We start from the raw sequence: 19,293 nt of genomic DNA, 5'->3' as shown, positions 1-19,293 counted from the left end.
TGTTTTAATTAGTGACGCTGCAGCCAGAAGAGCAAAACTTTGCAAAACAACCTAGTTCTATTACTGAACACTGTTGTGTGGCCTCTTAAGGTTAAGGCCCGAGAGTCACATTTAGAGTCCTACCCCGTCTTCATAGTCCCCCAATACATATTTAATGACTAAAGTAATAAATGAATATTGGGCAGGAAAGGCAAGAAATATGCCTAACACTAGCAAGAAGAGACTTAAGGGGAAAATGGTAAACACTCTTAGCACTTCATGTACATCTTGCCTCTGAAATAAGATTCAAGAGCTGATTCAACTGATTTTTACTAGTAGAAGCAATAAGTATAAGTAGATGAGAAGGAAATAATAGATGTAAAAGGCATGGAATATGCATACAAAATAATATTACTGCTTAATTATGACAAATAAATATATTTGAATCCTAGGGGTTTCAGAGTCAGTACTTTGACCTGTTTTAGACTCTTCAATTTTCAGAAGCGTGAGGTCTGATGTGAATGAAGGACACGTATATAAAATACAGAGAATAGAAATGTAAAATTGGTGTAGATTTCATTTTGATCCACCCCCCCCCGTTCCCTAACCAGCCCCCTACTTTCCTTATATTGCCTGAAGGTGACCATGTACATCTTATTGAGCTTTCAGTAAACACTCAAGAGACAGGGCTTCCTGAGTTCGTAATTGCTGTAGCAAGTATGTTGATTTATACATACTTATTTAGTATGCTAATTTATTAGCAAAAACTGGTCAGATAGTTTCACCTTATTTTTTTCCTCCCCTTTTTACAATGGCATTTCTCACAAATTTGCAGTTGCTGCTATGGTGTTATTATTCCCCTTTCTATAGATTAGCAAATTATATATGCAGTTATGTTGGGTAGATGATAGAGTCGAAACCAAAATATCTGCCCTTGTACTCTCAGATTGAGTTTGCATTCATATAACTTATTAAAAATGTGTATGAAAATTATAATTTATGTATAATATATACAGATATATGTTTTTTATATATGTGAAAATGGGGTGGATTCTAGCTGTAATACTGAAGGTAGGTAATATTTAGGCAGTTTCAGTTGTTTTTAGACTCCCCCACCTCAAAGAATGGTGACTGATTCAAGTGCCATGATTCTTTGCTTTTTTTTTTTATTAACTTATCCATGGAAATTTGATGAAAGCTGTGTACTTACTCTCCAGAAAAATATATATGTACATATAATTTTGCGTATAACCTGAGTGGGTTCAGTTGAATTTTCTAAAGTCTATTTATTGACTCCATTTAAAAAAATCTGCTACTCTAGTTTTAAGTTGAATGAGCCAGGTTTTTACGTAAACAGAACTGGCTGCCCTGTGTGTAAGAATGTGTGTATAAGATCTTCACTGTCTCTGACTTGGGTTCTGTAAAGTGGTCCTCAATGTGTAAATTGATTAGTTCTGCTTGAACCCCAGCTGGCATGGGTGAGCATGAGGACTATGCCTTGAAACTGACCTATACAACATTTGGTGCTGTGAAACATGCCCAGGCACTGTTACGTTCCTAGGTGGGCTCCTCATTTCTGAGTAAATATTCTGAAAATGGTATATTTAATGCTTCATAACTTATTTACACGTACAGTAAACATAAGTTCCAGAATTTAAATTTTATCTTTGCACATTTTTTTGGGTACTGGAGTGTATATGATATCAGTGTGCTTACAATACGACTACACAATTACCCGGTTTACTATTTTCTTAAAAACTTCAGGAGAAAACTTTCGTGTTGCCATTTAAAACATTCCCATGTTCTCCAACTACTTTGCTCATTAGAACATTTATATAGTTTTCTTTAGAAAGCAAAACAAAAAGTTTATGCGTGCGTTTAAAAAATTTAAAACAATTCTGAAAAGTTTTTTTAGCCTTACTGAGATATAATTGACAAATAAAACTATATATATTTAAGATGTACAACTTGATGTTTTGATGTATATGTAAATTGTGAAATAATCACCACAATCAAGCTACTTAGTATATCCATCACCTTACATAGTTATCTTCCTTCCTTCCTTCTTTCTTTCATGTGTATATTGTGAGAATACTTAAGATCTACTCTCTTAGCAAATTTCAAGTAAAAAGGGAGTCTTTTTTTACCTCTCTTATGGATGGTATTTATTTGAGGCCTTAGCAGTGAATCCTGATTAAAGAAGCAAGCAGGGCCTTTAGACAAAGGATAGACCTTGACAGGGAGCTTTCTTTTCCTGTCTTGACCCTGTTACTGAAAAACTTCGAGTAGGGCCCTTATCTTGGTTCCTTCTCTTTCCTTTAAGAGAGAATAATACCTGTTTGGGGAAGGATCAGTGATTAAAATATGCTGACTCAATGCCTGTGGAGAATTTTAGAAGGTCATACTTTTCTTCCCTTTGTTTCATTACTGGAGAGTTTCCTCAACCTTGGGTTGCTGAAATTTAGCATAGTAGAAAATGACTTAACTTGAGAACTGATGTTTAAAAAGTATTATTAGCAAGAAGTTGGAGAATAAAATGCCCAAGATGTTTTACACGTTCCTTCAATACACTTAAAATTTCATGACATGAGATGAACTTGAAATCTTGAGAAATTATGAGCATTTATAACTAGAGCCTTCTAAAAATCATTCAAAGTAATCATATTTTTTAAATTAAAAATATTGAAAAGAGAAAGAAGTTGGATGTTTCTGATTCCTTGTTTTCCAGCATGAAGAAAGGTCAGTCCCCGCTGGATATTCCAAACCAAGATAGTGAACAGATAGGATTGGGTTCCTGAGAGCTTTGAGAAAAGAGAACTGTTTGAAAGAAATGTGTTGATGGTCTATCTCTTCCTTAGAGTAGTTTCACTTTACTTGGTTTCACATGCTGGTGATTAGCGTTTACCGATAAGCTTTTAAAGGTATTCTTTGTATTTATGTAGTGTTTCCGTTCCCCCAGATAGGGGTAATCTGATGAAGTTAGGTATCCTTTTTTTTTTTTCTCCCATAAGTCCTAGAGACAGATGATATCCCTTTTTCAATGTGAAGTTAAAATTTTCACCAAGGCCACCCCGTTTAATAGTACTAGATAGCTATTCTTTTTGTAGTATTTGAAGCTCCCAATTCACCACAGTTTCAGAAGCTCAATTATGTATTATTATTAGGAGTTTTAAAAAATGTATCAGTTATAAATAGAAGGGAAAGGAATTAGTATTATAGAATATATTCTTTGTTCCAGGCACATTACACACCAAATGTTATTTCATTTGTTTTTTTTAGCTCTATCACCAGTTTTATGTTAAAAATGACAGCTAAAGCTCAAAGTGGTTCAGTAGTTTGCACATCAACATAGCCTGTAATTGTGGGAGCTGGGGTTTGAAACCAAGTCTTTCAGACCTCCACAGCTTTTAGGTTTTATATGATACTCTTATTACCCTCCTAAGCCGAGAGGTTTTATCCTAGATGTGGGCACAGAGGTCTATTTATGTTGTACCCTTCACTGTACAAAATCAGCAGAGCTAAACTGAATATGGGCATGGGAGGAAGGCAAACCCTGTAGGGAACAGTTCCGTATGAGATATTGGTGTCACATCTGGTCCACCTGTACCCATATGGACTTTAATTGTATTAGTTGGAGAAATGATGTGCCAGCTACTCAATCTGTTTGGAACAAGCTTGTCCAACCTGTGGCCTGCGGGCCACATGCAGTCCAGGATGGCTTTGAATGCGGCCCAACACAAATTCATAAACTAACTTTCTTTCTTTCTCTTTCTTTCTTCCTTCCTTCCTTCCTTTCTTCTTTTCTTTTCTTTCCTTTGGTTTCCTTTCCTTTCTTTTCTTTTCTTTCCTTTCCTTTTCTTCCTTCCTTCCTTCTTTCTTTTCTTTTCTTTTCTTCTTTTCTTTTCTTTTGATGGAGTCTTGCTCTGTTGCCCAGGCTGGAGTGCAGTGGCACGATTTCGGCTCGCTGCAGCCTCTGCCTCCCTGGTTCAAGCGATTCTCCTACCTCAGCCTCCCGAGTAGCTGGGATTATAGGCACCCACCACCATGCCTGGCTAATTGTTTTGTATTTTTAGTACAGACGGGGTTTCACCATGTTGGCCAGGCTGGTGTTGAACTCCTGACCTCGGGTGATCCTCCCGCCTCAGCCTCCCAAAGTGCTGGTATTACAGGCATGAGCCACCATGTCTGGCTAAACTTTCTTAAACAATATGAGATTTTTTGTGCGTTTTTTTTTTTTTCCTCATCAGCTATGGTTAGTGTTAGCATATTTTATATGTGCCCCAAGACAATTCTTCTTCTTCTAATGTGGCCCAGGGAAGCCAAAAGATTGAACACCCCTGGTTTAGACAGTATATTGGAAAAACACTTTTCAAAGTATCAGTAGTTTGTCTGGGGTGTCAGAAATAAGTAGGGTAACCAACTGTTCAAAATTTTCCCAGGCCTGAGGGATTTCTAGGATGTGGGACTTTGTTTTAAAACCTTATAAAGATTTCCTGAGAAGCTAGACTTCTAGTGCTAAAACCTGGAAAGTCCTGGGTAAACTGGGACAAGTTGGTTACCTAGTAGTAAGGGAAGGAAGATTCATTTCTTGAAACATAAACCGAGCAATGAATTAAAATCAATATTGTAAAATGGTTCATTTATTAAGAGGATATTTTACAAATGCCTTGATACATTTTTATTCCTAATTACAGGTATATGTTTAGAATAGTAAATTCATTGAAGAGAAAATTTAAACTCTTGTCCATCTCTTGAGTTTTTTTATATATTCCTAGAAATCACTGTTTTAAACCTGCCCTGTTTCTTTTTTTCTTTTCATTTTCCTAATATCTTGCCTCTGGCCCTTTGGTGGGTGCAGAATTGCTTAAGGGAACATCCATGAAGCTGGCTCCATAATTAGAAATATAATTGCTCATGTGTACATACAGAAGTGAGTAAATGATATCTATGCTATTTGATCCTTTTTGGCTATATAAAGGTGTTTTTGGTTTTATTTTTTGCTGATTTCCTTTGGAATCCCTTGGTTACAGCAGCAGTTATTTATAATTGGTTCCTGGTCTTAATAATTCACAATGTGGTGCTTATTATTTATAACATATAGTGTCAACCTTGTCAAGAGTGCTAAGATTTTCTTTATTCTCCTGGGATCCCAGTAGTCTGTTTTCTTGCATAGAGGGAATATATGTGTATGTATTCAATTTTCTGGTATGATCTAAAAGATTAGATTCAAAGGAAAATACAACTCTAAAGCAGAAACAAAAAATCATGACACAGCAGGAATAAAAATAGTGTTTCATAATTTGTGTGCTCTTTTGCTTTGAATACATCTATGTGAAAGGTAGGCTTTTTAGTTCCAGTTGGTGTTATTTGCTAGGTTAATTATGCTCTGAAGTAAATCTGAATCCTCATTGAATTGGGGTGGGTGAGAATTGGTACATGGGTAAGCAAATTGTACACAGGTCCATTGCTACAGTAATGAATTCTATCAGGTATTCATTTAGCTTATTCCTTAGGGAAATTATGAATCAAAGTATTTATGATTATCATAAAGTATTTATGATAATCATAAAGTATTTATGATTATCATAAAGTATTTATATCTCAATCATAGACAGAGAATATGGTAGATGAAAACTTACTGAGCTCAATGGGTTTGGATTCTTTGCTTTTGCATGTTGGTAGGTGTTTGGTACTTACGGTTTCTCCTTCTTACTTGTCATGTGCTTATGTTGTTTGCCTACCAGGGGGCCAGTCTTTCTTCAGCAGGAAGGATTCCATCCGCACCATCTATACTTCATTGCATAATGAGCTGAAGAAGGTGGTGACTGGCCGTGGTGCCCTGGGTGGGACTGCTCCTCACGTGGAAGAACTCCTTTCCCACCTGTCAGAGCAGCTCTGCTTCTTTGTTCAGGCTCGGATGGAGATAGCAGACTTCTATGAGAAGATGTACACCCTCAGCACACAGAAGTTCATCAATGCTGAAGAGCTCGTTGGCCTTTTGGATGCCATCATGAAAAAATACAGCTCCAGGTCAGTGTGGGGAGGAGGGAGGGAGAAAGCGTGGCTGTCCTATCAATCCCACACAAGCTCAGAGTTTTTCTCCACACTCTTATGAAAATCTGTGATGAAATAACTGTGAAATAAATAACTGGATTACATTTTATACATATTCATTAATCAACAGGTATACATTAGGCACCTTCATTGGTCTTATTAACACCACACGGCTGCTAAGCAATAGCAAAAGACCGAGAATGAAGTAATCGTAAAACTTGTATTATAACCGATTTTGCTGCTTAGGAAAGAGTTCACACAACAAGAGAATTGTATATAAAATAATAGGAATTTCTTTTTTCTGGAAACCAAATTGTAACATAGTAAAATAATATGAAAATACGTATTATTGTATTTTCTGTTGCCCAGGCTGGAGTGCAGTAGCATGATCTCAGCTCACTGCAACCTCCACCTCCTGGGTTCAAGCAATTCTCCTGCCTCAGCCTCCTGAGTAGCTGGGATTATAGGTACACGCCACACCCAGCTAATTTTTGTATTTTTTTTTTTTTTAGTAGAGACGGGGTCTCACCATATTGGCCGGGCTGGTCTTGAACTCCTGACCTCAAGTGATCCACCCGTCTTCACCTCCCAAAGTGCTGGGATTACAGGCCTGAGCCAATGCACCTGGCTGAAAATAATGTGAATTTTTAACAAATTATTATTCAAATAAATATTGTCCCTTTTAAAGTAATCAGTGATTTATCTGCTTGTTCCTTTGAACAAGCCATTCTTTAACATGTGTTGGAAACTCCTTTGTAATTGCTTTTAGAGTTTCTGCCATACAGTTTAGATTTCATTTTAAGTATTCTTAGTGGAGGAGGGCATCCACTAAGTGCCTGTAATCTCCTGGGTTCAAGTGATTTTCCTGCCTCAGCCTCCTGCGTAGCTGAGATTACAGGCACATGCCACTATGCCTGGCTAATTTTTTTTGTATTTTTAGTAGAGATGGGGTTTCATCATGTTGGTCAGGCTGGTCTCGAACTCCTGACCTTGTGATCTCCCTGTCTTGGCCTCCCAAAGTGCTGGGATTACAGGTATGAGCCACCATGCCCAGCCGAGTTGAGCTTTTAACGGCAGGTAGGATTTCGAAAGCAACTGTAGGAAAGAAGACGGCAGGTGTTTTGAGATGAGAGGATATTTCAGAATACAAAAAGGCTTCAGGGTTTTGGTACTTGCAATTCTTTCTCTCTTATAAGTTCTTACTGTAGTTATCTTCTCATCTTTAAGTCTTGGTTCAAACAGAGAAGGCTTCTCTCACTATCCTACCAAAACTATTCTGCTTTTAGTCACTATCTTATTCTCCTGATTTATTGCCATCTGAAGTTACTGTTGTTTGTTTAGGGTGTTTTTTCTTTCCTTTTCTCAAAAACTAGAATGTGAGCTCCATCACAGCTGCTGTGCTTTTAGCACCTGGAACAGAACCTAGCACATAGTAGATGCTGAATAGATGTTTGCTGAATAAATGAGTGAATAGTTGTGTTCCAGGTTGAAAATTTGTACTTAATTTGGTAAGCAGTGGGGAACCATGAAAAGTTTTGAACCAGGAGTATCATGTTCTCATCTTAGACTAATTACTGTGGCACTGTGTGTGCAATGGGATGGTGAAGGGAGAGGTTACAGGAGAAAAGGTTAGTTTAGCAGGCTATGATGGTAGCCTAATAGGCAGAAGGAGGGCCTCATGGTTGCAAGACAGTGGGATAGGAGATGCTGACAAGAAGTCTATAAGTCTTGTCAACAGGATGGCAGGAATAATGAGAGGTTGCTGTCAAAGATGATACTTAGGTTTTGCCCCTCTAATGATAATATTGTTTACAGAATTGAAAAGACAAGAGGGACTGAAGAGGAACTGGTTTAGAAGGAAGGTAGTAAGCTAAAATTGGGGCAAGTTGAGTGTGAGTTGCTAGCAGATTTTCGAGTAAAGATTTAGCAGGCATTTGGAAATGGGGGTCTAGAGTTCAGACGAAAGGCCAGAAATAAAACAACTTGGAAGTAGACTCATACAGTTTTATGGTTTAAAAACTAAAATGTCATTGTTCTTTAATAAAACAGCAATTGATTTTTCACCTTGTAGGAAAAGGGGGGGAGGTGGAAATATTTATATATACCTATTCTGAAGGAAATTAGCATGTATTGAGCAACTACTGTGTGCCAGACACTATGCAAGACCCTCTTCTTGGTTACCTGGTTTGAAGTACAGGTATAAATAGTGCACCTTTTATAGAGTCCCAGAGAAGTGGAACACTTTGCTTAGAGTCATACAGCTTAGCTCTGTGACTTCAGAGCCCATATTCTTTTGTGTATGCATCATTGCTTGTTATTAAAAATTGAGATGTTTTTTATCTAGTCCAGATAAATAATTTCTCTTTGCTGATCATTTTGTAAGTCAATAAATTAGTTCTTCAGAAGACCTAGGAAGCATTTACTACATCCTCTTGCTAGGAATACGAGTTGTGTGCTACCTACAACCACATACATACATAGTCTTTCTGAGCATAAGATGGTTGGGTAAAAATTATTATGTTACTATTCTTTCTTTCTTTTTCTTTTCTTTTTTTTTTTTTTTTTTGAGTTTGTCTCGCTCTGTTGCCCAGGCGGGAGTGCAGTGACATGATCTCAGCAAACTGCAACCTCTACCTCCAGGGCTCAGCGACCTTCCCACCCCAGCCCACCAAGCAGCTGTGACCACAGGTGTGCACCACTATGCCTGGCTAATTTTTTGCATTTTTGGTAGAGACAGGGTTTCTCCATGTTGCCCAGGCTGGTCTCAAACTCCTGAGCTGAAGCAATCCACCCACCTCAGCCTCCCAAAGTGCTGGGATTACAGGAGTGAGCTACTGTGTCCAGCCTATTCTTTCTTTTTCCTCTAATTTTTTATTTTGAAATTTTTAATGCTATAAAAAATTGCAAATATAGTATAATGAACATAGTTACCATATGATCAGCAATTCTACTCCTAGGTATATATCCAAGAAAAATGAAAACATATGTCCACACGTAAAACCATTGACATGAATGTTCATAGCAGCATTACTTATGATAGCCAAAGGGCAGAAGCAACCCAAATGTCCATTGACCAATGGATGAATGGATAAATAAATGTGGTATATCCATATGATGGAATATTATTCAGCAATAAAAAGGAATGAAGTGCTGGCACATGCAACAACATGGATGAACCTTGAGAACATTATGCTAAGTGAAAGAAGCTAGTCATAAAAGACCACATGGAAATTACATAATTTCCATTATGCGAAATACCCAGAACAGGCAAAGTCATAGACACAGCAAGTAGATTACAAATTCATAGTCACAGAAAATGGTTGCCAGGAGTTGGAGGGGAAGGAGGAGTGATTGCTAATGGGCACAGGATTGCTTTTTTGGGGACCGTGAGACTTTTCTAAAATTGATCGTGGTGATGGTTGCGCAATTCTGCAAATATATTAAAACCATTGAATTGTACACTTTAAAAGGTTGGTACATGAAATAATTAACAGTAAAGCTGTTACTAAAAAAAAATGACTGTACAATGAACATATAACTGTCCTTCACCTTTATTCACAAATTGTTAACATTTTGCCACATTTGCCTTATCTCTCTCTGTATATGATTGTACTTCCCTGAGTTATTTGGAAGTAAAATGCAATCATCATGACACTTTCCTCCTACATACTCAGATTTTGTCTTCTAAGAACCATACATAATCATAACACAGTTTTGAATGAAAAAAACAGTTTTTACATTCAGGAAATCTAACACTGATTTTCTGCCGTTGTATAATACATAGTCCATGTTCAGATTTCCCCAGTTGTCTCCAAAATGTTCTTTATAGTTGCTTGTTATTTTTTATTGTCATAGCTCTTTGATTTTTGTGACATATTCTAAATTTTCTTTTTTTTAAATTGTTTGATATATAATATGTTCACATGGGTCAACATTTATAAAGTGTAACACAGTGGAAAGTCTTCTTCCTTCCTCTTAGCCACTTAGTTCCCGTCTTTAAGAGGCAACTAAAGTTAGCAGGTTTTTTTTTTCTTTAAGACGGAGTCTTGCCGTGTTGCCCAGGCTGGAGTGCAGTGGCGTGATCTTGGCTCACCGCAACTTCCGCCTCTGGGGTTCAAGTGATTCTCCTGCCTCAGCCTCCCAATTAGCTGAAATTACAGGCATGCGCCACCACGCCTGGCTAATTTTTTTTGTATCTTTAGTAGAAATGGGGTTTCACCATGTTGGTCAGGCTGGTCTTGAACTCCTGACCTCAAATGATCCCCCCACCTCAGCCTTCCAAAGTGCTAGGATTGGTGTGAGCCACTGCGCCCGGCCTAAAGTTAGCAAGTTCTTGCTGTCATTCCTGAGAAATAGGCTATGCATATAAATATATGCTTACTTTTTTAAACATTTAAAAATTTTATATTTTTGGAAGTATTCTTTTATTTCTTCCTCCAATCTGATTAATATGTTTTCTTTTAATAACATAGTTTTTTGAAACCCCAAAACTGAAGTACAGTTAAGGATATGATTCCTAAGGGGAAGAGATCTCATGTAGTAATTCCCAAACACTAATGTAAAAGTGGTTTGCTGAACTCTTCGGGAAGCTTAAGAAAAATACCCATCCCTGAGCCCTTCCTCCTCTTCCCTAAGAGGGTAAAATTTAGTGTGCCCAGAAACCTCTGTTTTCAAAATTCCCTGTGATAATGATACGTGGTCTGCACTCAAAAAAATTGGGTAACTAAGAGAAAGATGTCAGCTCCAGGATAGAATAGGTACTGAACCTTACTGATGTGTGTGTGCATACACGTGTGTGTGTGTGTGTCTCCTGGGACTGATTAGTATTAATTGTTTTCATTTTATTAGATTTGTGCCCTATCATCTTTATTTATTTCGAGATGAGGTCTTGTTCTGTCACCCAGGCTAGAGTTCAGTGGCGCTCTCTCGGCTCACTGCAGCTTCAACTGCCTGGGCTGAAGTGATCCTTCCACCTCAGTCTGCCAAGTGGCTAGGACTACGGGAGCATGCCACCATCCCTGGATAATTATTTTATTTTTTTGCAGAGACAGGGTCTCACTATATTGCCCAGGCTTGTCTTGAACTCCTGCGTCCAAGCCATCCTCCTGCCTTGGCCTTCCAAAGTGCTGGGATTACAGGTGCCCAAAGTGCTGGGATTACAGGTGTAAGCCACACACCCAGGCCCTATCATCTTTAAACCTTCTTTGAAACACCCCACTTCCCAGAGCCTTAGGAGTTTCTCCCTTTCCCTGCGGATTTAATTTTCAAAGTTCTTAGGGCAGTTCTTAGTTGAAACCCTCATCCTCTGAGTGGATATTGATGGAGTTGGATGGAACTGGATTACAGTATGGACAAGAGATGTCTTTTTTCATCTACAATTTCCATCTTCCACCCATGCTGCCTTTCTCTAATTAATAGGGAATGACTGATCACAGACACATCCTAGCCTGAAAATGATCTAAATTAGAGGCTTTGGGTTAATTTCAACAACATAAATTCTTTAAGGAATTCTGAAAAGTTGAACTTCTGTATAATGATTTTCTTTGGGCAGTGGGATTCCTTTATGTATCAACTAACATGATTTTGCCCTTTGCTAGGTTAATGTGCTTTTTTCTGTAGACTTTTTGATCTGGCATCTGTGCTACACCAAACATTTCTCCTTTATGGTTTCAGTGTTCTAGAGAAATAATTCATATTTTGGTATTCTGTTGTATTGAAAAAGTTAATCCTCCTCCCAAAGGATCCATTTATCTTTCAGGGAATGTCCCAGTGTAGCTGATCCATGTCAGAACTCTTATAACAAATTTTGTGACTAGTACTATGTTTCAAATGCTGAAATACCTTTGTATTAAAAAATTAATGAGTGTGATGAATAGCATGGAATCTAAACCTCTGGCCTTGATTTCACATGTAAGTCCTGTGTGAGTTATTGCAGTGTCTAGTCTGCTTTCACAGATGAATGGAAAGTATATTTTGGTTTTCTTCTTCTGGAAGCCAGTTGTGTTCACAGTAGAATGGTGTTAAAAAAGGCTTCCTTTTTGGTAAATTTATAACTTTTTTTATTTTTGAGATGGAGTTTTTGCTTTTGTTGCTCAGGCTGGAGTGCAGTGGCGCAATCTCGGCTCACTGCAACCTCCGCCTCCTGGGTTCAAGCGATTCTCCTGACTCAGCCTCCAAAGTAGCTGGAATTACAGGCGCCTGCCACCATGCCCAGCTAATTTTTGTAGTTTTAGTAGAGATCAGGTTTTACCATGTTGGCCAGGCTGGTCTTGAACCCCTGACCTCAGGTGATCAACCCCGCTTAGCATCCCAAAGTGCTGGGATTATAGGTGTGAGCCACTGTGCCTGGCCAGTTTATAACATTATTAAGCATATATAAGTTCTTGTTTAGGAATCACAGTCATTTGTGATTCTGCATTTTAAATTGAATTATTAACAAATTGAACTATATTAATAATATAATTATTATATAAGTTTAATTGTGTGCCATTTAGCGGAAGAAACATGAACTTAGCTTGTATAGGGTCACAGTATCTGCTATTCCTTGAGTACTTTTGAGGAGCAATAGAACTTGGGTTTTTGTTTTTGTTTTCCAAAGAAGCACCAGTGGAACATTTTCTGATTCTGCAGAATTTTTTACACACTTATTTATTGTTTGTGGGTATAAAAGAAAATTCTGGCTGATTTTTCTGTTTCATGGTTAAAACAAATTTGCAAGATAGATTGTAAATGCACATTAATATTTACTCTCCTAAATCAAAACTATAATATTAAGAAATAATACTTCTAAAGAAAGAAGAAAGCCATCACTTAGGCATTCTAGACCATTAAAAAAATCTCTACGGTATGGCAATAATAAACCATTCCATGATTTTAATTGTTAAATAATAATTTTATAGCTAGAATTTAAATAACATTAAAAAATTGATGTACATATATTTGTTTGCATTTTAGGAAGCACACTTTCTTGATCTGACTGCTTTAATTCACAAATTTCTCACGAAAGGCAGAACTACAATTTATTTAGCCCTTATGCCCACTTTTCGTCAAAAAAAGATTTTTGATGATAAGGCTGTTAATAAGACATTTTGTTAGTTGCATGTGTATAGTTAACAAGGTTAATTATTGCTCAGTGAAAATTTCACAAGCAAAACTAGTAGTAGTGCAATTTCTGTGGAATGCACTCTCTCCTAGTCATTTGACATGCTTAGATTTTAATAGTGAAGACTTAAGCAAGGTCTTCCATGATAGTGCCCCAGCCTATCTTTTCAAATTCATCTGCTACCTCCCATCAAATGCTTTACATTGCAGCTAAATTCTTAGTACAAAGAAAGAAACTTAAAAGGGCCAGGCGCAGTGTCTAATGCGTGTAATCCCAGCACTTTGGGAGGCCAAGGCGGGCGGATCACTTGAGGTCAGGAGTTTGAGACCAGCCTGGCCAACATGGCGAAACTCCATCTCTACTAAAAATACAAAAATCGACAGCTGTGGTGGTGTGTGCCTGTAATCCCAGGTACTTGGGAGGCTGAGGCAGGAGTATCACCTGAGCCCGGGAGGTGGAGGCTGCATTGAGCTGAGATCGCACCACTGCACTCCAGCCTAGGCAACAGAGTGAGAGAGAGAGAATCAAAGAGAAATCATTGAGGATTTTAAGCAGAAGTCCAATCATTGAGGATTTTAAGCAGAAGTCCAAAAACAGCCCCATAGTCTAATACTCAATATGTTCCTCATAAGGATTTGCCATTTCCTACCTCTCTGCTTAGGCTCCTGTTGTTTTTGTGCTCAGAATGTCCTTTTGTTGTTCTATCATGTATCAGTTTGCTATTGCCACAATAAGTCTGCATAACAGACTTCCAAATTTACACTTGTGTGTTTGCAGGCCTACTAGGATTGGCTGACCTGAGCAGGGTTCAGGCGGGTAGCTCTGCTTAACACTGTCTCACTGGGGTTGACTTTTTACTGTGAGCTTTGGGCTTAGGTCTGCTCCACATGTGTTCATTCTGAGCCCAAGGTTGGAGGGGAAGTAGCTACCCAGTAGCAATGTCCAAAGTGCAAAAGTATGACCAAGCTAAGCTCATTTTAAGCCTTTGCTTGCAGCCAATCTGTTAGCATCTCTTTGGCCGAAGCAAGTTACTTGGCCCAGTCCATATTCCATGGGTAGGAAAGGAGCTGCAAAGTTACAAAACAAAGGGTGAGGAATCATGAATGGGAGAAGACTGGGGCTGGAAAATCAAGCCCCCATCTTCATATGGTAAAATCCTGCCTACTCTTTCCCCCTGCTTTTTTATTTTGTTAAAAAAAAATACATAATATCAAATTTGCCATCTCTTTTTTTTTTTTTTTTTTTTTTTTGAGACGAGTTGGCTCTATCACCTTGGCTAGAATGCAGTGGCCTGATCCCAGCTCACTGCAACCTCCACCTCCTGGGCTCAAGCAATTCTCCTGCCTCAGCCTCCCGAGTAGCTGGGACTACAGGTGCATATCACCACACCTAGCTAATTTTTGTATTTTTGTAGAGATGGGGTTTTGCCGTGTTGCCCAGGCTGGTCTTGAACGCGTGAGCTCAAGGGTCCCACCCATCTCAGCCTCCCAAAGTGCTGGGATTACAGGCATAGCCACCGCCCCCAGCAAATTTACCATTTTAACTTTTTTTATGTATCCAGTTCAGTAGTGTTAAGTATATTCACAGTCTTTTGTAGTAGATCTTTAGAATATTTTCATCTCGCCTCACTGAAACCCTGTACTCATTGAGCAACATTTTCCCCCCTCCCAGCCCTGGGCAACCACTGTTCTGTTTTCTGTTTCCATGAGTTTGACTACTCTGGATACCACATATAACTAGAATCATACAGTATTTGTCTTTTTGTGACTGGCTTATTTCAGTTACCATAATGTCCTTGAGATTCACCTATGTTGTAGCATGTGACAAGATTTCCTTCTTTTTAAGGCTGAACAATATTCCATTTGTATGTATGTACCACATTTTCTTTATCCATTCATTTGTCAATGGGCATTGGAGTTGTTTCCACCTCTCAGCTATTTTAAGCATCATGGCTCAATTCAAATGCCATCTCCTCTATGGCTTCCACAATCTTTTGACCAAAAGGAATTGTTCCTTCCTCTGAAATGTTATTTTATTCATAATAAATGTATTAGTTTCTACTTTGTATTCATTATAAATACCTCCTTCTGCCATGGAAGGTCCAGTGGGGCAAATCTCTGGGTAATTTTTTATATCTTCAATGTATTGGTGTTTAAGCATTAGTAAACAAGTTGTTTTAAATGAAAAGATGTTACAGATTTTGTTTTGTCATGGTAAAATATACATAACATAAAATTTATCACTTTGGGTGCAGCAAACCACTGTGGTACACATATGCCTATGTACCAAAGCTGCATGTTCTGCACATGTGAAAAAAAAAATTTATCATTTTGGCCCGGCATGGTGGCTCACACCTGTAATTCCAGAACTTTGGGAGGCTAAAGCAAGAGGATTGCTTGAGGCTAGGCATTCAAGACCACCCTGGGAAACATAGCAAGACCCTGTCTCTACAAAAAAATTTAAAAATTAGCTGGGTGTTGTGGTGTGTGCCCGTAGTCCCAGCTGCTAAGTGGGCTGAGGTGGAAGGATGCCTTGAACCTGGAAGGTTCAGGCTGCATTGAGCTGTTCAGAGACCCTGCCTATAAATAGATAAATAAATAAACAAATAAGGACATATACCTTTTGGAAAGAACTCCGTGGTGCAAATTTGCAAAGGAGAAAGGCAGTGTTTCTAAAGTGGAGTTTTGTGTTGCATTAGAATATTACACAAATCTATTCATTTTATATTTTCCTCTATTCTATGGAGCGAACCTGCCTTCCTTCCTTCCTTCCTTCCCTTTTTCCTTCCTTCCCTTTTCCCTCCCTCCCTTCCTTCCCTTTTTCCTCCCTCCCTCCCTTCCTTCCTTCCCTTTTTCCTTCCTTCTTCCTTCCTTCCTTCCCTTTTCCCTCCCTCCCTCCCTTCCTTCATTCCTTCCCTCCCTTTTTCCTTCCTTCCTTCCCTTTTTCCCTCCTTTCCTTAGAGCAGATGTTCTCTGCAAATAGTTGTTAATTTATTCTGTATTAAGACTATTCAGACTCTTTCAAGCTTGCTGCTGTAGCTTAGGTGGATATTTTTGGATTACAACCATTTAACAGAGCCTCCTATGATACGAGTTGTGAATAGCTATGAGGCACATGGCAGAGTGGAAATAGGGAAATGATACATCATAATGCTAAGCTCTAAGTCTTGGCAGACTAACATTAACATGAATTTTTAGCTCTTCTTGAGGTTGAAAAATAGCTTCAACATTCACATTTATCTTTAATAAGTGTTGAGCACTTAAGCACTTTCAGTGTATGTTATGGAAGAGCTTGTTCGGAGTTCTTTCTGAAGGTTTGGACAGGGAATTTATGTCCTCTTAAGGAGAGCATTGGATTTGAATGATGATTTTCAGCTGAAAGCAGTAGAAAGATAACAATAGTGTTATTTGTACTAGAATTTTCTCTAATTTCATGTCATTAATCCTGTGATTAACAGTCTTACTATGTTGCTAGTTCCTGGGCAAATTTTCCTAATAGCCATGATTATAGAAGATTGTGATATTTAATGCTTATAAGTGTCAAGGGGCCTAAAAGCTAAGGTGGTAGGAGGCTTTCTTACAATTCAAAGATTTTGAGACTTATTCTATAACAGGGTTTTGCATGTGTGCATTTAAAACATTTTTAAAAATATACAGTATTTAAGTAGATTTTTTTAAAAAGTGTTATCCTTGTATAGGGGACATGCTAATCTTCTCTGTATCATTCCAATTTAAGTATATATGCTGCTGAAGTGAGCCTTTTTTTTTTTAACACAGGGTCTCACTCTGCTGTCCATGCTGGAGCGCAGTGGTGTGATCATGGCTCACTGCAGCCTCAACCTCCCAGGGTCAAGCAATCCTCCCACGTATGTAGGCCTACAGGCGCACTCCACGAGGCCTGGCTAATTTTTTTATACTTTAAGTTTTTGTAGAGACAGGGGTCTCACTGTGTTGCCCAGGCCGGTTTCGAACTCCTGGGCTCCTAATGATCCTCCTGCTTTGGCCTCCCAAAGTGCTAAGATTACAGGTACGAGCAACTGCTCCCAGCCTGAACTTTCTTAGTGTTCATTCTAAAATATATAATGTTTGAAAAGTCCAAATTAATTAAACATGTAAGCTGGAAGATTTGAGATCTGGTTTATCTTTCTGATTTTTTGTGTATTTATATATTTTTTTACTTTAATTTTTTTGAGTTCTGGGGTACATGTGCAGAATGTGCAGGTTTGTTACATAGGTAAACATGTGCCGTGGTGGTTTGCTGCACCTGTTAACCCATCACTGAGGTATTAAGCCCAGCATGCATTAACTCTTTTCCCTAATGCTCTCCCTGGCACCTCCAACAGGCCCCAACAGGCACTAGTGTGTGTTGTTCCCGTCCCTGTGTCCACGTGTTCTCATTGTTCAGCTCCTGCTTATAAGTGAGAACATGCAGTGTTTAGTTTTCTGTTCCTACGTTAGTTTGCTGAGGATAATGGCTTACAGCTTCGTCCATGTCCCTGCAAAGCGAGAACATGCAGTGTTTAGTTTTCTGTTCCTACTAATGTTAGTTTGCTGAGAATAATGGCTTACAGCTTCATCCGTGTCCCTGCAAAGGACATGATCTTGTTCCTTTTTATGGCTGCATAGTATTCCATGGATTGTGTATATTATTAGACTTAATCTCACCAGTGTTTTAGCTTCCTCAGCTGGAAGGATGTTGATGTAAAATGCAGATAATAGATGAAAAGCAATGTGTGTTTTTCACATGAATAACGACATTTCACATGATAATCGGTTTCTCTCTTATAATGTCCAACCTAGTGTGGACTCTCTTAACCATAATCCTTTTAATTAGTACTTAAATAGATTTTTTTTAAAAATTCTAGATACACTTGTGATTTTTTTTTTCTAATTGTTTAGTTGATAACCAGCATTTTCTTTTTCACCAGCAGCCAAAACAGGGCTGTGTGAGAAGCGTCCGTTTCATTAACAATGAAGTGATCAAATGCACTCAGGCCTGTAGATCATCTACCATAGTGCCTGGAACATATAATATGCTCCATAAATACAAGTACTTCCCCTGCCTTTACAGTGGGATCACTTGCTGAGGTGATTTCCGCAGCCTCTGCAGGTGCTGTGGATCTTTAGGAAGAGTGTAAGCGCTTGATGTAGGCTTCTGGAGAAGGAGCATGTATCAGGCCTGGCAGCCACTAGGCGCTTCTCAGAAGAGAAACTGAGCAAGAAAGCTCTGTGTGGTCTGTACAGGAAGGACTCTCCCTGCCATTCTAGTCTACTGTTACAGAACTTCGTTCAGCCCATAACCAGCAGGCAGAATCAATGAGGCAGAGACTTGGATTCATATCTTTACATAGTTGGTCACCACATTGACTAAATTTCTGCTTGAGTCATAAAGTTCTAGAGACAAAGGAGCGAATAGAGGAGGCAGCTATTACTTCCGCTTGGGGAGGAGCTTAAAACTAGGGTGGCTGTATGTCTGTTTTCCTGAGAAATTGTATGGTCAAACTACTAAAGTGGGAGAGAGGTATTAAGAAATGAGAGGATATAACTGGGGAAAGTGACCTCATCTGGAAGTGGACAGAGAAAGCTTTTCTAGGGAAATGACTGACGAGGAGACCTGAAGAATCAGGAAGAAGTACAGTATTGGTGAAAATGGGTCATGTGCTCACTTATCTAGGGTCCCTGAACTTGCCCTTTTTTCCCTGTGCCTAGAAGAGAGGATGTCCCACATCATGTTCTTTTCCCTTTAAACATTACTATTACATGTGAAGTAGAACAGTGTTTTACAAACAGCAGGTACTAATCTATGGGATATAAAGTTAACTTAGTGAGTTAGTAATCTGATTTAATATGTATAGTAGAAAATAAATATATATTTAATATATATTAGAAAATATCAAGTAGAAAATAAATATATATTTAATATATATTAGAAAATATCTATATATATTAGAAACTATCAATAGCGGAAGTAATAGCTGCCTCCTCTATTCACTCCTTTGTCTCTAGAACATTATGACTCAAGCAGAAATTTAGCAGAGTACATTGTACATAGTAAGAAAGTATTGAAATAAAATATTTATGTGTGCAGGTACTTGGTCACAATATAAAGTGTATTTTTTACAGTAGATCATAGTCAAAAACTTTTTTTTTTTGGAGACA

At 38.3% G+C, this 19,293-nt stretch overlaps 1 protein-coding gene and 1 pseudogene across 3 annotated transcripts in view, besides 1 other annotated feature; one reads left to right on the top strand and one right to left on the bottom strand.

Moving 5' to 3' along the window:
- The window catches only part of KICS2 (KICSTOR subunit 2), a 35,981-nt gene that overhangs the window by 610 nt on the left and 16,078 nt on the right, over positions 1 to 19,293 (top strand). For all 3 annotated transcript variants that reach the window (NM_001300940.2, NM_001300941.2, NM_152440.5), the window contains exon 2: positions 5,724 to 6,009. In NM_001300940.2, the coding sequence (NP_001287869.2) occupies positions 5,724 to 6,009 (286 nt within the window). The remainder of the gene's footprint in view (positions 1 to 5,723; positions 6,010 to 19,293) is intronic.
- Positions 6,287 to 6,484: a silencer, noted in NCBI's record as "fragment chr12:64608983-64609180 (GRCh37/hg19 assembly coordinates)". NCBI's record gives its function as "represses an EF-1alpha promoter that drives an FKBP-Casp9 reporter gene in an ReSE screen in phorbol 12-myristate 13-acetate-treated (for megakaryocytic differentiation) K562 erythroleukemia cells {active_cell/tissue: K562(+PMA)}" and the evidence as "EXISTENCE:reporter gene assay evidence [ECO:0000049][PMID:32094911]".
- Positions 16,788 to 16,894, bottom strand: RNU6-1009P (RNA, U6 small nuclear 1009, pseudogene; annotated as a pseudogene).

The sequence above is a fragment of the Homo sapiens genome, chromosome 12 (assembly GCF_000001405.40).
Source record: "Homo sapiens chromosome 12, GRCh38.p14 Primary Assembly".
NCBI classification, from domain to species: Eukaryota; Metazoa; Chordata; class Mammalia; order Primates; family Hominidae; genus Homo; species Homo sapiens.
The sequence above is the reverse complement of the archived record's forward strand: the minus strand, read 5'-3'. Positions and strand labels throughout refer to the sequence as shown.